This window comes from Homo sapiens, chromosome 5 (genome assembly GCF_000001405.40).
Source record: "Homo sapiens chromosome 5, GRCh38.p14 Primary Assembly".
NCBI lineage: Eukaryota > Metazoa > Chordata > Mammalia > Primates > Hominidae > Homo > Homo sapiens.
Genome location: NC_000005.10, coordinates 31,281,744 through 31,297,911, shown reverse-complemented (window position 1 = coordinate 31,297,911; position 16,168 = coordinate 31,281,744). Strand labels below are relative to the sequence as shown.

Below are 16,168 nucleotides of genomic sequence, written 5' to 3'. Positions count from 1 at the left end.
ATTGGTTTCCATGATCACTGTGGCAAGGGACAGCAATGTGGCAGATTGTGTACCAGCTTTGAAAATTTTAATTAGAAGCGACTTGTATCATTATCACATTTTATTCACCCAAATAAATCACATGGCTACATCTAATTTCAGAGCAGAATAGAGAGACACAATCCTACTAAATAATTAGAAAAAGAAGATTCTGAATATCTGTAAACAGGCCAATACTATCAAAAAGGGGTTTACCTTTTAGCTTCACCCCAAACTGGAAGAAAACTAAGGCAATACATAATTTTTCTCAATCTACTCCATAGAAAGGGTGGGTGAAAGATTCATTGCCAGATTTTTTGATTAAAATTATTCAGATGTCATGTTTACAAATATATCATTAGTGTTTGGTGGATGTATGCAAGAAAATCCAATCACATTGATTATTTTTATTAAAAATATGCTAGCTCAGCTGAGCATGTCAATTAAAATTATAGATTATAAAAAGGAAGATCAAAAAGTCTAACCTGTTTCTGATTCAACTGAAAAATAGGGCTGTCCCTGTAGAATACTGTAGACAACTTTAGCACTGTTCCCATATGTTGGATCATCTGCATCCGTCGCAGTGACTTGGACAACAAATGTACCTGTAATGACAGAAATATAAACTGAAAACACATCAAGAGTTCATATCAATCTTTGACACACACCAAAACCAGCACGATCTTAATTTTGTATGGAAATATCATGCTGAGGAAGTCGAGAACTTTGGTAGGATGCTGGGTGAAAAAGGATTGGATTCTTTAAAGAAATACAATCAACATTTAGAAATATTTTAAGGATTAGGTTACAGAAAAGCATGGGAATGATCATGACTTGGGGTGGAACTGATTCCAACCCATCTCCAATGGCGGGATTTGACTGGACTCTTGCTTTAGTGATTCTTTCGAGTTATCCAGGACAAAGTCAATCAGCATCTTGCTTCCTTTGTCCACAGGAATTAGTTTAGGAATTGTCCAATCAGGGGCCACTCATGATTTTGCTGGAAATTCTGTCATAGATACTCTTTTTCTTGGACCGTAATGTGCTGATATACATTTGCAGCAGCTATTTTGTGATCTTAGAAATGCCAGCCTGAGGACAAAGCTGGATAGAATAGAAAATCACAGAAAAACAGCTAGAACTCAGATCAAATCCTGTCCAAAGCCCGCTTTACTTTTGGACTTAAGTAATGTGACAAATAAATACTTATTTGTTGTTGTTTAAACTAGTTCGAGTTGGATTTCTTGTTACTTACCAATAAAAGCATCCTAAATGATAAATCTATCTGATAGTTCTAAACGGTTGAAAGACCTTGAAACTTAAAGAATGTAGTTATGGATTACATAAAGAATCAATGAATTGGAACAGCAAAGCACAAACATCTGGAATCTGCAATTCCAAAAGGTCATTATACTTAAATATACAAAGAAGGCTATTACATTTCAGATCAGCATTCTTATTTTAGACCCCACAGTTGCCTAATAATCTTCAAAGTATTCCTAACCCCCTGAAATTCCACATAAATTTTCATGTGTATGCCTACATGTCTATTTCACTGAGGAGAAATTCTGTAGATTTTATATGATCCTCAAAGGGCTCTGTGACTTCCCGAAAGGATAAGAGTCTCGGATTAAGATCACTTAATGGCTGTTTTTTGTTATTTGTATCAGATAACCAGTAAGCATACTGCTGGAGTTCCCCTTTCCATGAAAGGGGTAGGTAAGTTACATCCAGGGAATATTAGGAATTCTACATTGCTTTTGTATTATATAGCCAATTTCACTTATTGAAGAAATAGATTGTAGTATGTTAGGGTTGGATGCCCTGAATGTATAGTGCTGATGCACAAAACAGACCACCCACCGTTGTAATTTGGCAAGGGAGGTGGGGAGACTGAGAACATCTTATGATTTTAGGGTGAGTCAAGTCAACAAACACTCAAGTTCTTATTTAACATTAACACAAAATTTGATTGCTTTAGAATATGATATCTGGACATTTTAAATGTCTATTCGTTGCCAGATATTGTACTAGGGACTCTGTACCTGTTTTATCATCTAATCCTCATGATAGCCCTTTGGAGTTGACATTTATTATTTATTTTTTCAAGATACAAAACTAGAGGATCAGAGAAATCAAATAATTTGCCCAGGGCTACACTGCTGGTTCTTAGTGGAGATAGTTTCAAATTCAGTTCTGTTTGATACCAAAGTCCATTTTTGCTCCCATGCTGTTGTCCCACTGCCTTTATGTAATTTCTCGAAGATGCCTTTCTATAATCACAATAATGAGATATCAATTAAGGATGATCAATGTCACCATAACTGTGTCTGTGTGCAAACTGAAAAAAGCCTTTTTATTTTTCTCAAGACATGTTACTGTCAACTACCCCTAAATGTTTGTAATACAAATTTAATTCTATAATGGCTTCAAAAGTGAATGGCACTCCCTAGAGTTGTGCAGTGCAATACCTGCATAGCTGGTTACAGTTGCCCTGAGTGGTGCTGATGAAGAGACTATTCTTCATGAATTCTTCTGCCTTTTACCACGTAGAGGAGAAATTTTTTTCCTAACAAATTTAAAGAATGCCATTCTATTGCTGCTATAAGCAGTGAAGAAGAAGAAGAAGAAAAAACAAAATTCCAGTCATCTCCCTCTTTGCTTTGTGAGGCTTGCAATTTTTGTAACAAAACAAAGTGGCTTTAAATAATGAGAAAAGCAATTTCTTCATAAGAAAAATGTAGATGTTTTACAACGATTTCCATGGATTTGTTATTTTCTATGTCTTGGATCTGTGAACTACAATGTCTCTGATATCTAACTGACAGAATCATAATAAAGTTAATATGTAATTTCAGCCCTTTTGAATCTGACAGAGTGAAAATAAAAATAATCCTTTATATAAGTAGTTTAAAATTTGTCAGTGTCTCCCATGAAGTATTTCAATGTGGCTAAGAGTGATGTCAGTAGAATTCTTTTTCTTAATTTAAATCCTGTTTACTTCTCTCAATTTAAACAAATTAAATCCACTAGTTATTTAAAAAAGTAGAGGTATTGTGTAAAAAATATTAATTCACTCTATGTATGTTATGAAAGTCTTTTCATTTCCACCATGTAGTAAAGGATCCACTCCCTAGACATAACGTGCCTATTGTTTATGGATTAAAAAAAGTTCTTTGATCTCCTTCCCAAATATACAGTTACTAGTTACTTAAAGCAACTATCACTACTTTTTAGACTGGATTGTAAATGTAAGCTTTTATTTTCTATTTGGGAGATTGTTACTTGGACCCTAACACCCACATAGGCTAAGAGAAGTGGAGAAGGTTGCTTTCAGCCCAAGAAAGAGAATGGGCATTTAGGGTGGGAGAGAAAGGAGATGGTCTCTCTTTCAACCTCCCACTCCCACCCTGCCACTTTTCAGACCCTCTTTAGAGGAAATGTGGTTTTTAAAATAATCACAAAATGAGACTAGAGTAATATTAGGAAACATATGCACTTACAGAAAGGACATACATGGATTGAAGAAGTTAGCATCTAAATTCATGCAGTTCAGTACTTTGAGCTCGTGGGATTCCTTACTCAGTGGATGCACTAGGGGAAAGCCAGCTTTTGGCTGAAGTCACGTCTCACTCACCGACATCAGACATTTCAGGGACAGTGGCTGTGTAAACCTCCTTGGTGAATATTGGTTCATTGTCATTGATGTCATGGATCTTGATGATGAATTCAGACTCGGGCTCCACGGGTCTCCCTGTCCTTCTGTTTATAGCTTGAGCTCGAAGGATGTAAACGGGTTTTTCTTCCCTGTCCAGCCTCTTGGTGGCCTGTATGTCGCCTGTGTTTTCATTAATAATGAAGAGATCTCCTGCTCCATCTCCTGAAAGGATATATTTAAGTGATCCATCTCCTCTATCCTGGTCTGAATGTAACTAGTGTAGAAAAAAAAAATTAAAGAAAGTAAAAGTCAAGCATGTGGTTCTAAACTGTTTTTGTCTTTTTGGTGCATGCTACATTAACTTTTATTAAATTCTTTCTAAGGAATACAAGTTTTTTTTTTTTTACTATTTACGTAACCTCTTAATGGTAAATACCATTCATTAATGAACATGTTTCCTTATAATCATGGAATTTTTCAGAACTGGAACAGAGTTTGGGAGAAAATTTAGTAATCTTTATTTTGAAGAAGGGAAAACAAAAGGCAAGAGCAATAGCAAGGTGGCCAAGGACGTATTAGGGTGGCTGGAATGAGACTCTTTTCACGATTTTCCTATTTTTCACTACAGCTTTCACATTCCACTAATACACTCTCGCCCTCACTTGCATGTACACAAACATATTAGGGAAGCAATATCCTATTTAGAAAAGGACTTTGATTTTTGAATCAGAGAGACTTGGGTATATTCTATTTCTACCTTACATTTATTATCTTGGTGAATTTAGGGAAGCTTGGCAACCTCCTTGAGTCTTTAGTGATAGAGATTATAATCATTTTTTTCTGGGAAGATGTGATATTTATTTATTTATGAAATTCAACTCAAAGCATTTGAGAAATATCCTAAGTGCTGCCAAGGGCAATACCTTGAAAATCACCTGACTAGATAATTTACAGGTCACTTGGAACAATAGCATTTCATATTTATACTTAAGTATAAGATAGGAAAGGACCTTCTAATAATTAGAGCCAACCTAAAATTGAAATAGTCTGTCTTATGAGTGGTGAGTTCCCTGCTCCTAAAGGTAATCAAGCAGAGACTCTGATGACTAACTGTCAGTGAAATGGGTTTGGGTAAAAGTTGGAATTAAATGAATACTAAGGATACCGTGGAAATAGAAGATGAGAATCCTAACTTGGATAAGTAGTCCATGTTTCCTTTCCCAGAGATTATATCCACAGTGTTGATTTCCTATTGTTTCCTAAATTCCCTTTTTCCCACCCAGCAAAAGGTTAGATGATACCTTTAGATGGTACCTAGACCTAACTATAGGTCTATAGGACATATATACACAAACACATACATATATATATATATATATATATGCACACATATATATATATATATATATATATGCACACATATATATATATGCACACACATATATATACATATACACACATACACACACGCACATATATATATATATATTCAGTCTGCAGGTTTTCAGATAATTTAACCCTATTTGCAAATTTTCGAAAAGTGCTTTTTATTGAGGAGGACTATTTATAAACCCCCAGAGTTTTAAGCATCCATGGTATATAGAGAAGTTAGTGTTAGTGGGAAGGCTGCTACTCTCTACCTTGTTTCAATTCTGTCTAAACAGAATATGGGCTATGCTACAACAACAGCAACAACAGTTATGCCAAGTCTTTCTCTTGTTGGTTAATACTGCACAAAATGCTCGGAGAAGCATTACACATTTGAAAATAGACTCTTAGGGCAAAAAGAGACTTTAAAAATAATCCAACCTAGTCTAAAAGTGTATTCCATGTAATATCATTTACAGGAAGTGCTGAGGGAAAGAAATACTTTATATACGGCCTCTTTCTTAGAGTCACTGTTGACATGTCAAAGGCTCTGAGTGTCTGCAGTTTGAAACTACATTTGATTCTGTGTAATTTAGTTTTCCCTGTCTTGTTTAAAGAATCCTTTTTGGGTGTAACTTATATCGATATCCCCCATACCAGTTTTCCAAAAAAGATACTTTGGGAAACATGAACTAATTTAAAATCCATCATTGTAGAGTCAAGAAAACTGAGAATCCGGTGCGTGCTATGTTTCCAAAATCACACAGCTCATGGGAAAAGAGTCTGAAGATTAACTCTTGAGCGCAGGAAGAGGCTTTATAGATTATTTGGTGCAACTTCCTCATATTTAGAGGTAGAGAAACCGTGTTTAATGTAACACAGCAAAAGCTAGTTAATCGTGGTGTTTGGGGAAGAGAATATTATTCATATAATTAGTAGTCTTGAAAGCAATTTGGCAGAAATAATGGAAGATAAATTCGAATGGGGAGGAAATTGCTTAGAAGTGAGATAAATGCAATCAGAAATGTAAAACAAGAGCATCCCATGATTTGAGTGATGGGATATGCTAAGGAAACGCTGAAACCATCATGACACACAAAGAGCCACTGGGGAAAGTTTAACTCTCCATCGTCAAATTCGAATGACTGAAGAGGCTCTTAAAAAGCTATTTCATTAACCCATGAGTAAGGAAAGCAATGTCACCACCTGGCGGATCCTTGCTCTAGGGCAGCTGTGGTCAGCAGCCTGGCACAGTGCGGGGGGCACGTTCCTAGGCATGAGCCATGTTCATTCTTTTTCACTCAGCAAGTGTAAGAACACAGCAGAGTCAATTAACCTCCCTCAGCCAGGATTCTTATCTGCAAAATGAGGATAATAAGAGCTACATGGCCAGGCTGTTGTGAAGATCTAATTGAAGACCACATGCAAATAGTACATTAACCACCATGTAAACATGCAACAAAAGCATAATATGGGTCTTATAGATTACAAAGTGCCTCCCAAATTTAAGAGAGTGCTACCGTTATTAACTCTTAGTTTATAATCAGCATGCTTTTTCTCCTATTTTGACTTTTGAGAACTTTGTTTTGAAGACTTTGAAAACCCAATTTTACAGACACATGGTATCTCTAAGGTAAAATCTGTGATCAAAAGCCAGTATTCTTTAACTGGGCGGCGGGGGGCAATTGCTATCTTTACATATGATTTATTATACTCTGCATTCCACTGGATTATACACTCTCCTCCACTAGTTCTTTCATCGGTTTCAGTATGTAATTGTTGCACACTTAATAGGTGAATTCCACATCTGGTCACAAGATTTATTCAGGTAAAAGTAATCAGAAATGTATTTTTAGCTGTCAGGTGAGACCATTTCGATGACTTATAGAACAAACACCCGAAACAATGTTAAAGGGCAGAGGAGACGTTAAAGAAGAGTGAGAAGAGTGTGAGCAAGGGTTGCTTTGCAGATCACAATTCTGATTTATCAATATTTGAAAACTAGTGGGAAAATGTATCTCTTCTCTTTGCATCGTCTGATAGTAAAGCAATTTCACTTCCTCCCCCTTCCTCCCTCCAAAGTGCATTTTCTGGGTCTGACCGAGTACACGGAGCAGAAACCTCCCAAAGCCTCTGCTTTTTCTCCCCACTCTCCTCCTCTGCCATCAAACTCCCCTGGGGCCAGTTCTTTTCTTGGGAAAAAAAGGAAACATAAGACATCAGTGCCTGTGAAAGTGGTGGTGAAAATCAGACATTAGGGGTTTATTGAGCACTTAGATTTTAATTGGATTTTTTCTTTTGTGATGTCATCCATCATGGCCACTGTAAAAGACAGAAGTTAAACAACAACAAATAAAAGGCTGTAGGCTGCCCAAGGCATGTTTTTACTAATTTCAGTTTAATGTGGCTGTTCCATTAAGTTTAATCATCTGGTTCACTTTTAACGATTCACCATCAAGTAAAAACTATCCACTTGCCACAGAAAGTCACATCTCACCTGTCGCTGGTAAGACTTTTTACTACTGTACCTGTAGCATTTCGTGCCAGAGGGAGCTCTTGGTCTTTGTCTGTTTCCTCTGTTGATTTTTAAAATGTGTTTACTTATTAAGAGATGGAGTCTCACTCTGTTGCCCAGGCTGGAGTGCAGTGGTGCGATCTCGGCTCACTGCAACCACTGCCTTCCAGGTTCAAGCAATTCTCTTGGCTCAGCCTGCCGTGTAGCTGGGATTACAGGCATCCACCACCACACCTGGCTAATTTTTTGTGTATTTTTAGTAGAGACAGAGTTTTACCATGTTGGCCAGGCTGGTCTCAAACTCCTGACCTCAAGTGATCTGTCCGCCTTGGGCCTCCCAAAGTGCCGGGATTACAGGTGTGAGCCACTGTGCCCATTTTTTTTTTTAATACAGCATCTTGGCAAATAAACACAGGGATTTTGGTTGTAGATGTAGCTCCATGGTGGGTGGGACCAAAACCATGGCAGCATCTTTGCCTGCTGGGTGTTGTGGTTTCCTGGGGACACAGCATGTTTTTACATGCTAAATGTGCTGAATTCCAACTTGACTTTAAATCAAATTCAAAGGCATAACAAAGATTTTTAGTCGTCTATGAAGCCAGCTAATGCTGCCTTATTGCTCCCATTTCCTGTGTGTCCCCAAGTCACCATCTGAGTCAGTGACCAAATGCAATCTCCGCAGCATATGCATTGTTAAGACAGAAAACAGTCCAAACAATGTTGGTGAGGGTGTGGAGAAACGGGAACTCTCATACACTGTTGGTGGGAAGGTAAATTAATTCAATCTCTATGGAAAACAGTATGGAGATTTCTCAGAGAACTAAAAGTAGAATTACCATTTGACCCAGCAATTCAGTAGATCATTCTGTAATCTATCCAAAGGAAAAGAAATCATTCTATCAGAATGACACCTGCATTCATATGTTTATCATAACACCATTCACAACAGCAAAGGCATGGAACCAACCTATGTGTTCACCAACAGTTGACTGGATAAAGAAAATGTGGTACATATACACCCCAGAATACTACAAAGCTGTAAAAAAGAATGAAATCATGTCCTTTGCAGTAACATGGATGGAGCTGGAGGCCATTATCCTAAATGAACTAACACAGACACAGAAAATCAAATACCACATGTTCTTACTTATAAGTGGGAGCTAAACAAAAAGTACACATGGACATAACATGGGGAAAATAGACTCTGGGACTCCAAAGTGGGGAAGAAGGGGAGTGATGGCTGAAAAATCACCTACTGGGTACAATGTCCAATACTGGGGTGATAGGTACACTAGAGGCCCAACCCCCACCATTACACGTGTAATACTCACGTAACAAGTGCATGTACCCTCTGAATCTAAAATAAAAATTAAATAAAAGAACCCCCTCTCCCCCCAACAAAAACAATCCAAACAAAAGCTTACCTAGATGACACACATAGAAAAGTACCTACAGCAGCCTTACGTGGGCTTAGAAAAGGTATGAAGTGATGTTTGGCTAAAATGAAATATTGAATTATGGCTAAGGACTTGTACGGTGTAGTGCAAATGTAATGTTGCTCTTTAAGAAATGTTATGGTTGCTAATCTGAGCTATTATAAGACAATTAGAGAACAGTGGTGTTGAAAAGATGCTGTCTGGGATTGAGGAAAGAAACAGGAATTACAGCAGAGAGAGAGAACATCTTTGTGTTAAATAGGTGGAATGTTACTTTAAATTAGCACAATCAATCAAATTATGACAAATTGAGGCTTAACTGCATCAATATCTATGTATACGTATAGATGTCTACATGTATACATACATCTTTATATATAATGCATGTATACGTAATGCTAATAAATAGACAGTGTTGTGAAGGCTGGGAAAAGCTTGTTGGGTAGAGTTTATATCAGGAAGAAATTGAACTTGCTTGAAGTACATGGCAGGGATTAGAGTTGCTTCTGTTTTAGAGATTATAGGATTAGGTAAATCAAAAGTGCATTTTAATAAAATTCCATATGACACATTTTATTCTGCTGTATTTGAATGTTAATAATTTGGCATGAGTTAACTAATTTATATGTGATGATTATTTTACCAATTAGAAAGCTGATGGCAGCATATGATTGTGGCAGGTTCCCAGCTGTGGGTCAGCTGGGTGTGTGGCTGTTCAGCCCTGTGATTCAGTTTTCACATTGTAATATGTGTGAATGTAAAGGGTGCAACTTCAGTGTCCCTGGTTTAGCAGGAATTGGCTTGCTCTAGTCCTATTTTTTCTTTTTTCCACAGGTTGCAATGTAAATGAGGCAGTGACCTGGTTTCCACCAGGCTGATGAGAACAGTGCCCAAGGGGATGGCAAGCCACAAAGTGGAAGGAACCCAGGTTCTAGAATAACCTCATATCCGACCAGCCTGTAATGTGAAAGAGGAAAAAAAGACATTGCACTACAACCATTATGTTTTTGAAGTTTTGTTGTTGTTATTGTAGTTCTGCGTTGACCCTAAGTCGGTGGTTCTCAAAGTGCGGTCCCTGGACCAGCCACATTGGCATTACCTGGGAACTAGTTAGAAATGCAAATTTCTGGCCCCACCTACCTCCAGAATCAGAAACTCAGGGGATGCCCACCAGTGCTGTGTTTTAAGAAACTCCTTAGGTAGTTCTGATGAGTGCTCAAGTTTGAGAGCCACTGCCTTAACTAGTACAATCATAGTACTTACTAGCATGGACACAGGCAAGGGAAAGAGGTGAGTGTAAATTTATGCTCTGTACTTGTCACATAACCTTGGGGAACTTAGTTAACCTCTCCAGGCCTTTATTTCCTCATCCATGTGATGGGAATAATAATAATACTTAATTTACAAGTAGGTTTCTCAGACAATAAATAAAATAATGTATGTAAGATGCTTAGTAGAGGGCCTACCTCAGAGAAAACCTTCAATAAATTACTCTTGAATTCATAAACACCAAATATCCAAAGGTGGATTTTGGGAAAGTGGTGGGATTTGGATCTGAATTCTGACTTTCCTATCAATCAGTGAAATAAATTAACTGATCTTAGTCTCCATTCAGTCCTAATATAGAACTGGAAATGATTAACTTTGCCTCCTCTATCTGCCCCTTATATGCTGGTATCCTGTAGGCCTGTGTCTTTGGTCCTTGTCTCCCTCCTTTCACATGCTCTCCCCACATGAGATCCTCTATCTCTTTTCATGGATTCAATTGCTATCTCTGTACCATCAGTGCCTAAATCTATCTGTTACCCCAGGGAAGAACATTTTCTTGAGATCTGGAGTCAAGAATATAGTCACCTCTTTCTCTTAGACAACTTACACTCAGCACATCCAATATTGACCTCATCACCTTCTCTCCAAATCATTTTCCTCCTCTCATCTCTGTAAAAGCCACCAGGGAGTCATCCTAGGCCATACCCTCTGCCACTATCCCCACATTCATTAAGCCACCAACTCTAGTCAATTCTACCTCTTATGTATATCTTGATTCACCTACTTTTTTCCTTTTCCCATTTTCACTGCTGTCACCCTGGTCCATGCTACTGCCTTTTCTCATTGGTCTATTGCAAGGAGGCCCTCCAAACACACACCCAGGCTTGCTTTCTTTAGATTTTCCTTTCTGTAACTAGATCAACTTAAGAACAACACCAACTCTGAAGATGCCAGTCTCCTCTAATTAAATCCTGCAGTGTCCTCTTTACTCTTGGGATAAAGCCCTCATCCCCACCCCTTCGCATGGCCTCCAAAGCCCGGCACGGCCTCTGCTCCTCCTCTCTTTGGCTTCATCAGCCATCGTTCTCCCCTTAACTCTCCTGGTTCCAGCCATACCCTACTTCTTGCAGTTTCTTGAAGATAACATCACTAACTAGCTCTTTCGTAGCTACGCCTTCCTGCATGTGGTTCCCTTGACATCAATCCCTTTTAATATCCTCACCTAGTTAAGCCAACTCTTGTGCCAGGTCTGCTTAATCTTTATCACCTCAGAGAAGCCTTCCTTAAGCTGCTGGTCTAAGTTACAGTCTCCTCCTATATGCAATCAATTCATTCCCCACTTAGCCATCAGCACATTCTATTGTTGCTGATGATGTGTTTCACAGCTGTTTTCCAAGCTAGATTGCAGGTTCATAAAGGAAGGCACCAAACCTGTCTAGGTCACTTCTGTATCCTCAGAGCCTGATATACAGGCACTTTATAGACACTAATAGTCAATGATAGCAAGGAATGAATGAAAGAATAAATAAATGAATCTTGTAAAAATTAAATTGGATAAGATATCAATGATCAGTGAAGGTTTCTGGCACATAGCAGACACTCAATAAATCTTAGTGTCCTCTATACTCTTTCTTGACTTTAGGATAATTCTGTAGATCAAAAATATACGTTCCTGAAATTGCCAGATAATTTATCAATTACTACTAAACATTAGACACATGGTCTAATCTGAACAATCTGAGGAGGTAATTCAAGTTATTGCCTCAGACCTGAAAGCATTTCTTTAATAACAAATTCAACTTCAACACAATAGTAAAGCCAACTTGTATTGGATTTGTTGACAAAAATGGACCAATTGTAAGTACATTGAATTCATTGACCATCATAAATACATTGGATGCTGGGTCAGAAGTCATCTGTTAATGGTGAAAAAGCTGCAAGATTTTACCGAACTATATTTCAAGTATCCTCCTGTTGCAGCAACTAAAGAGAAATGCTCTATTTCATGGAAACATTATTTCATAATAAAATAATTTAATTCTGTCAACCACAACCATTTAAAAACACTAATTGGTCTGACCAGTTGCATAAAGCAATGAATAAAAGCATCTAAACTCTGCCTTCTATAAACTTGCCATTTACGTTGGAATAAAATATACAGAAAAAAGCAGAAATTAGACACTTTACTGTTATTAGGTATTAGGATTCACAAGGTAAGTAAAAAGCTGGAGAATAGCATAGAAGGAACTTGTAAGTTGGAGAAGACTGAATCAGGGAATGTGAAAGCTCTTTGATGGTTTAGGAAGACTTCTTGGAGAAGCTTAGACTACTGATGGGAGAAAAATGATTTAGCAACCGATATGAGCACATGGCATGGTTTCAAGGCTCAGTGTGGGAGAAAATCAGAAGAGGTCTTGAGTATGTGCCTGGGGTAAGAAAAGCCATAAAGTCAGCAAAAATAGAAACACTCCTTCCCGTAAGTTGCAGGGTCACATATTTTCTCACACTGCACTCAAATGTGCAAGGAAAGATGCAGCTTCCTTATAATTATTTTTGTTTATAGCTTTTCCCTCAAGCTCTAGTGCCATTGAGGATTAGAAGCTCAATACAGGTTGAATATCAACTCAGTAATTTAGTGCAATCCCAATAAAATCTTCCTGATTCAGTAATACGGTCTCTTTAGGATAAATCCCAGTCTTTCTGGTTTCTTTCTCCTCCTGCTTTGCTCCTGATCCAGTCCGAGATGACATCTGCATGTATGAAGGAGAGGAAGCCACATGGCCTTTGCCAGTGAGGAATTTGGGGGCTTTTGGAGCCAAGGATAGTCCTCATGCTGCCCTCTGATCCTCTGGTCTCTAGAGAATATCTCTTATGTATTACTTTCCTCAGTGGCATCTGTGGTTCTGGCAGATCATGACCTTTGCTCTCCAGTGATCAAGGTGAATAGCTACATCTCACGTCCCTCACTGGCATCACATACTGCCCTCGAGGTCTGGCTATGTCTTCTTTGTCACCCTTAGCACATGTAGTCCTAGCTACAGGATTTCTTTGTCCTTCTACTGGACCATCTATTGGATCAATCCACCCCCTTCTTGTTCTGGAGAAGCCCAGGAAGGCTCATGGGAATGAAACAGGGCTTCTCCCTCACCACGTGATCGCCCCAGGGCAAGTGGGAAAAACCCACTCTGCTTTCACCTTTACCCAAACCTTGCCACTGTTCCACCCTGTGGATTCAGATTCATGTGTCTCAGGGCAGTAGAAATAAGTCTTTGTATGTGTTATTTGACATCCAGGAATGTGAAGTTCCTTGGTTTTGGGAATGTCCTACCATACAAACTTCAGTAGATGGAAGGGCCAATTCCTAGTACAAACCCCATTGAGATAGCTGGGGTGGAAAAATGACCTACATGCCAGAGCATGCTGCAAGTAATGCTTGGTGACTACATTTATACATGGAATTAGTGAGTTTTATTTTGGTTGGCCAGCTTATTTCTTGATCTACAAAATGGGCTTGAAAAGGATCTAGAAAATAGGGCTGGGCACGGTGGCTCATTCCTGTAATCTCAGCACTTTGGGAGGACAACGTGGGTGAACTGCTTGAGCTCAGGAGTTTGAGACCAGCCTGGGCAACATGGCAAAACCCTGTCTCTACCCAAAACACAAAAATTAGCTGGGCGTGGTGGTGCCTGCCTGTAGGCCCAGCTACTAAGGAGGCTGAGGCAGGAGAATCGCTTGAACCCAGGAGGCGGAGGTTGCAGTGAACTGAGATCGTGCCACTGTACTCAAGCCTGGGAGACAGAGTGAGACTCCATCTTAAAAAAAATAAAAAAAAGAGAGAATCTAGAAAATCTATTTTTCTGACAAAACCTGGGATCAGGCTGCCTTCATATCTCCTGTTCTTTTTCTATTACACCATGTTGGCTCTTATGACCCCCCATATTTGTATTTTCCTATATAGTAGAAATGATTTAATTGATTTTTATAATGGTGTAAATATTTTATCTTCAAAGTCTTCTCTTTTGTGATTCATCATCTGGCAATTGGTCTGGCTGGGATTTGGAAAAATGATAATAGCAGACATTTGTTAAGCCCATATCATGGGCCGGGACATGACCTGAACTGGTCACAAAGATTACATAATTTGTTACTCATTATGATTCTATTCTTATCCCCGCTTAAGTGATGAGGCAACTGAGGCAATATAGGAGGTAAATCACTTCTCAGCATGGCACGATGAATAAGAGCAAGATTTGAGTCCAGGTGGCCTACTCTATTAACCACAACACATTTTTTTCCCTGTGTTTTTACATTTAGTTCTGTAAACATTCATTAAAAGCTTACTCTGTACCAAACAATATTTTGAGTTACAACGAATTATCTAATTCAGTGTTTTTCAGTCTCTGCTCTATTGGCATTTTGGGCTAGGTAACTGTTTGGGGAGCTGTCCCATACATTATAGGATGTTCAGCAGAGTCCTTTGTCCCTACCTACTAGGTGCCAGTAGCGTCTTCCCAAGATGTGACAGCCAAAAATGTCTCCAGATATTTCCAAATGTCCCCTGGGGTCAGAAAATTGAGAACATTGATCAAACTTAAATCTGTCTGTCTGTCTCTCTCTCTTTTTCCTTCCATCCATCCATCCATCCATCCATCCTTCCATCTTTCTTATCAATGTGTACTTTGTGACTTTTAAAATACACTTAAATAATACCATAAGGGATCTGTATTTGCAGAGATTCAGTATAACCCTACTCAATTCAATTTTTTGTTTTTTGTTACATTTAATAACCCCTGAAATAGACCTTGTGTCATGTGGAGGAGAATGTTTGACAAAGTGCTAAAAGCAAAAGAAGTTTAAGCCTAAACACAGCAGAAATTTACTAATTCCCTTGACAATTATTTTTTACACTCAATACCTTGAATTTCATGTCAAAAGTACCAGAGTAACTTAAATGAACAAAACTTTAGAGTGATAATAGTGGTAGTAGGCAGACTAATGCACCTGCTCCCCCAAAGATGTCCATGTCCTAATTCCCGGGACCTGTGACTGTGTTTCCTCACATGGCAAAAAGAACTTTACACATGTGATCAAGATAAGGATTTTGAGATGGGGAGATTATCTTGGATTACCCAGGTGAGCCCAAGGTAATTGCAAGGGTCCTTACAAGGGAAAGAGGGGAGAGTTGGAGTGAGAGATGGAAATGTGATGATAGGAGCCAAGGACAGAGAGAGAGAGAGAGGAAGAGAGAAAGAGAGAGAGAGAATTTGAAGTCTCTATGCTTCTGGGCTTGAAGACGGAGGAAGGCGCCATGAGCTGAGAAGCCAAAGAATGCAGGTGGTATCTAGAAGCTGGAAAAGACGGGAAATGGATCCTTCCCTGAAGCCTCCATAAAGACATCTTGCAGACACCTTGATTTTAGCCCAGTGAAACCCATTTCTGACCTCCAGAATTATGAGATGATAAATTTATATTGTGTTAAGCCACAAATCTGTGGTGACTTGTTACAGCAGCAACAAGAAACTAAGACAGTAGCTCCATATTTCTGAAATTCAACGTGAACTGAAACTGCGTGTGGTCCTTCAAGAATCCCAGTGGAGGAGGGAGGAAAACTAACCCTTCCTGAACACTTTACTGTGTATCAGGTACTGCAAAAATGGTTGGTGTGTTGCATGCATTAATTCTCACAATGACTCCAGGGGGTAACTTTTATTTTCTCCATTTTTTTCAGATTAGGAAACTGAGGCCAGAGAGATTAAGTAATTTACCCAAAGTTAAGCGCAGAGCCAGAAAGGATACCAAGGCCTGCCTGACTCCAAAGTCTATTCTCATTCACATCAAAGCAACCCTCCCCACACTGATTATAAACATTTCTGTATTCGTTGTATTTATTATCAGACCCCAGGC

The 16,168-nt window shown here is 38.7% G+C and overlaps 1 protein-coding gene across 4 annotated transcripts in view; it reads right to left on the bottom strand.

Annotated features, from left to right (window-relative positions):
* The window catches only part of CDH6 (cadherin 6), a 135,461-nt gene that overhangs the window by 31,235 nt on the left and 88,058 nt on the right, over window positions 1-16,168 (bottom strand). For all 4 annotated transcript variants that reach the window (XM_011513921.4, NM_004932.4, XM_047416591.1 and 1 more), the window contains exons 3-4: window positions 3,656-3,950; window positions 504-623 (exon numbers count right to left, since the gene is read on the bottom strand). In XM_011513921.4, the coding sequence (XP_011512223.1) occupies window positions 504-623; window positions 3,656-3,950 (415 nt within the window). The remainder of the gene's footprint in view (window positions 1-503; window positions 624-3,655; window positions 3,951-16,168) is intronic.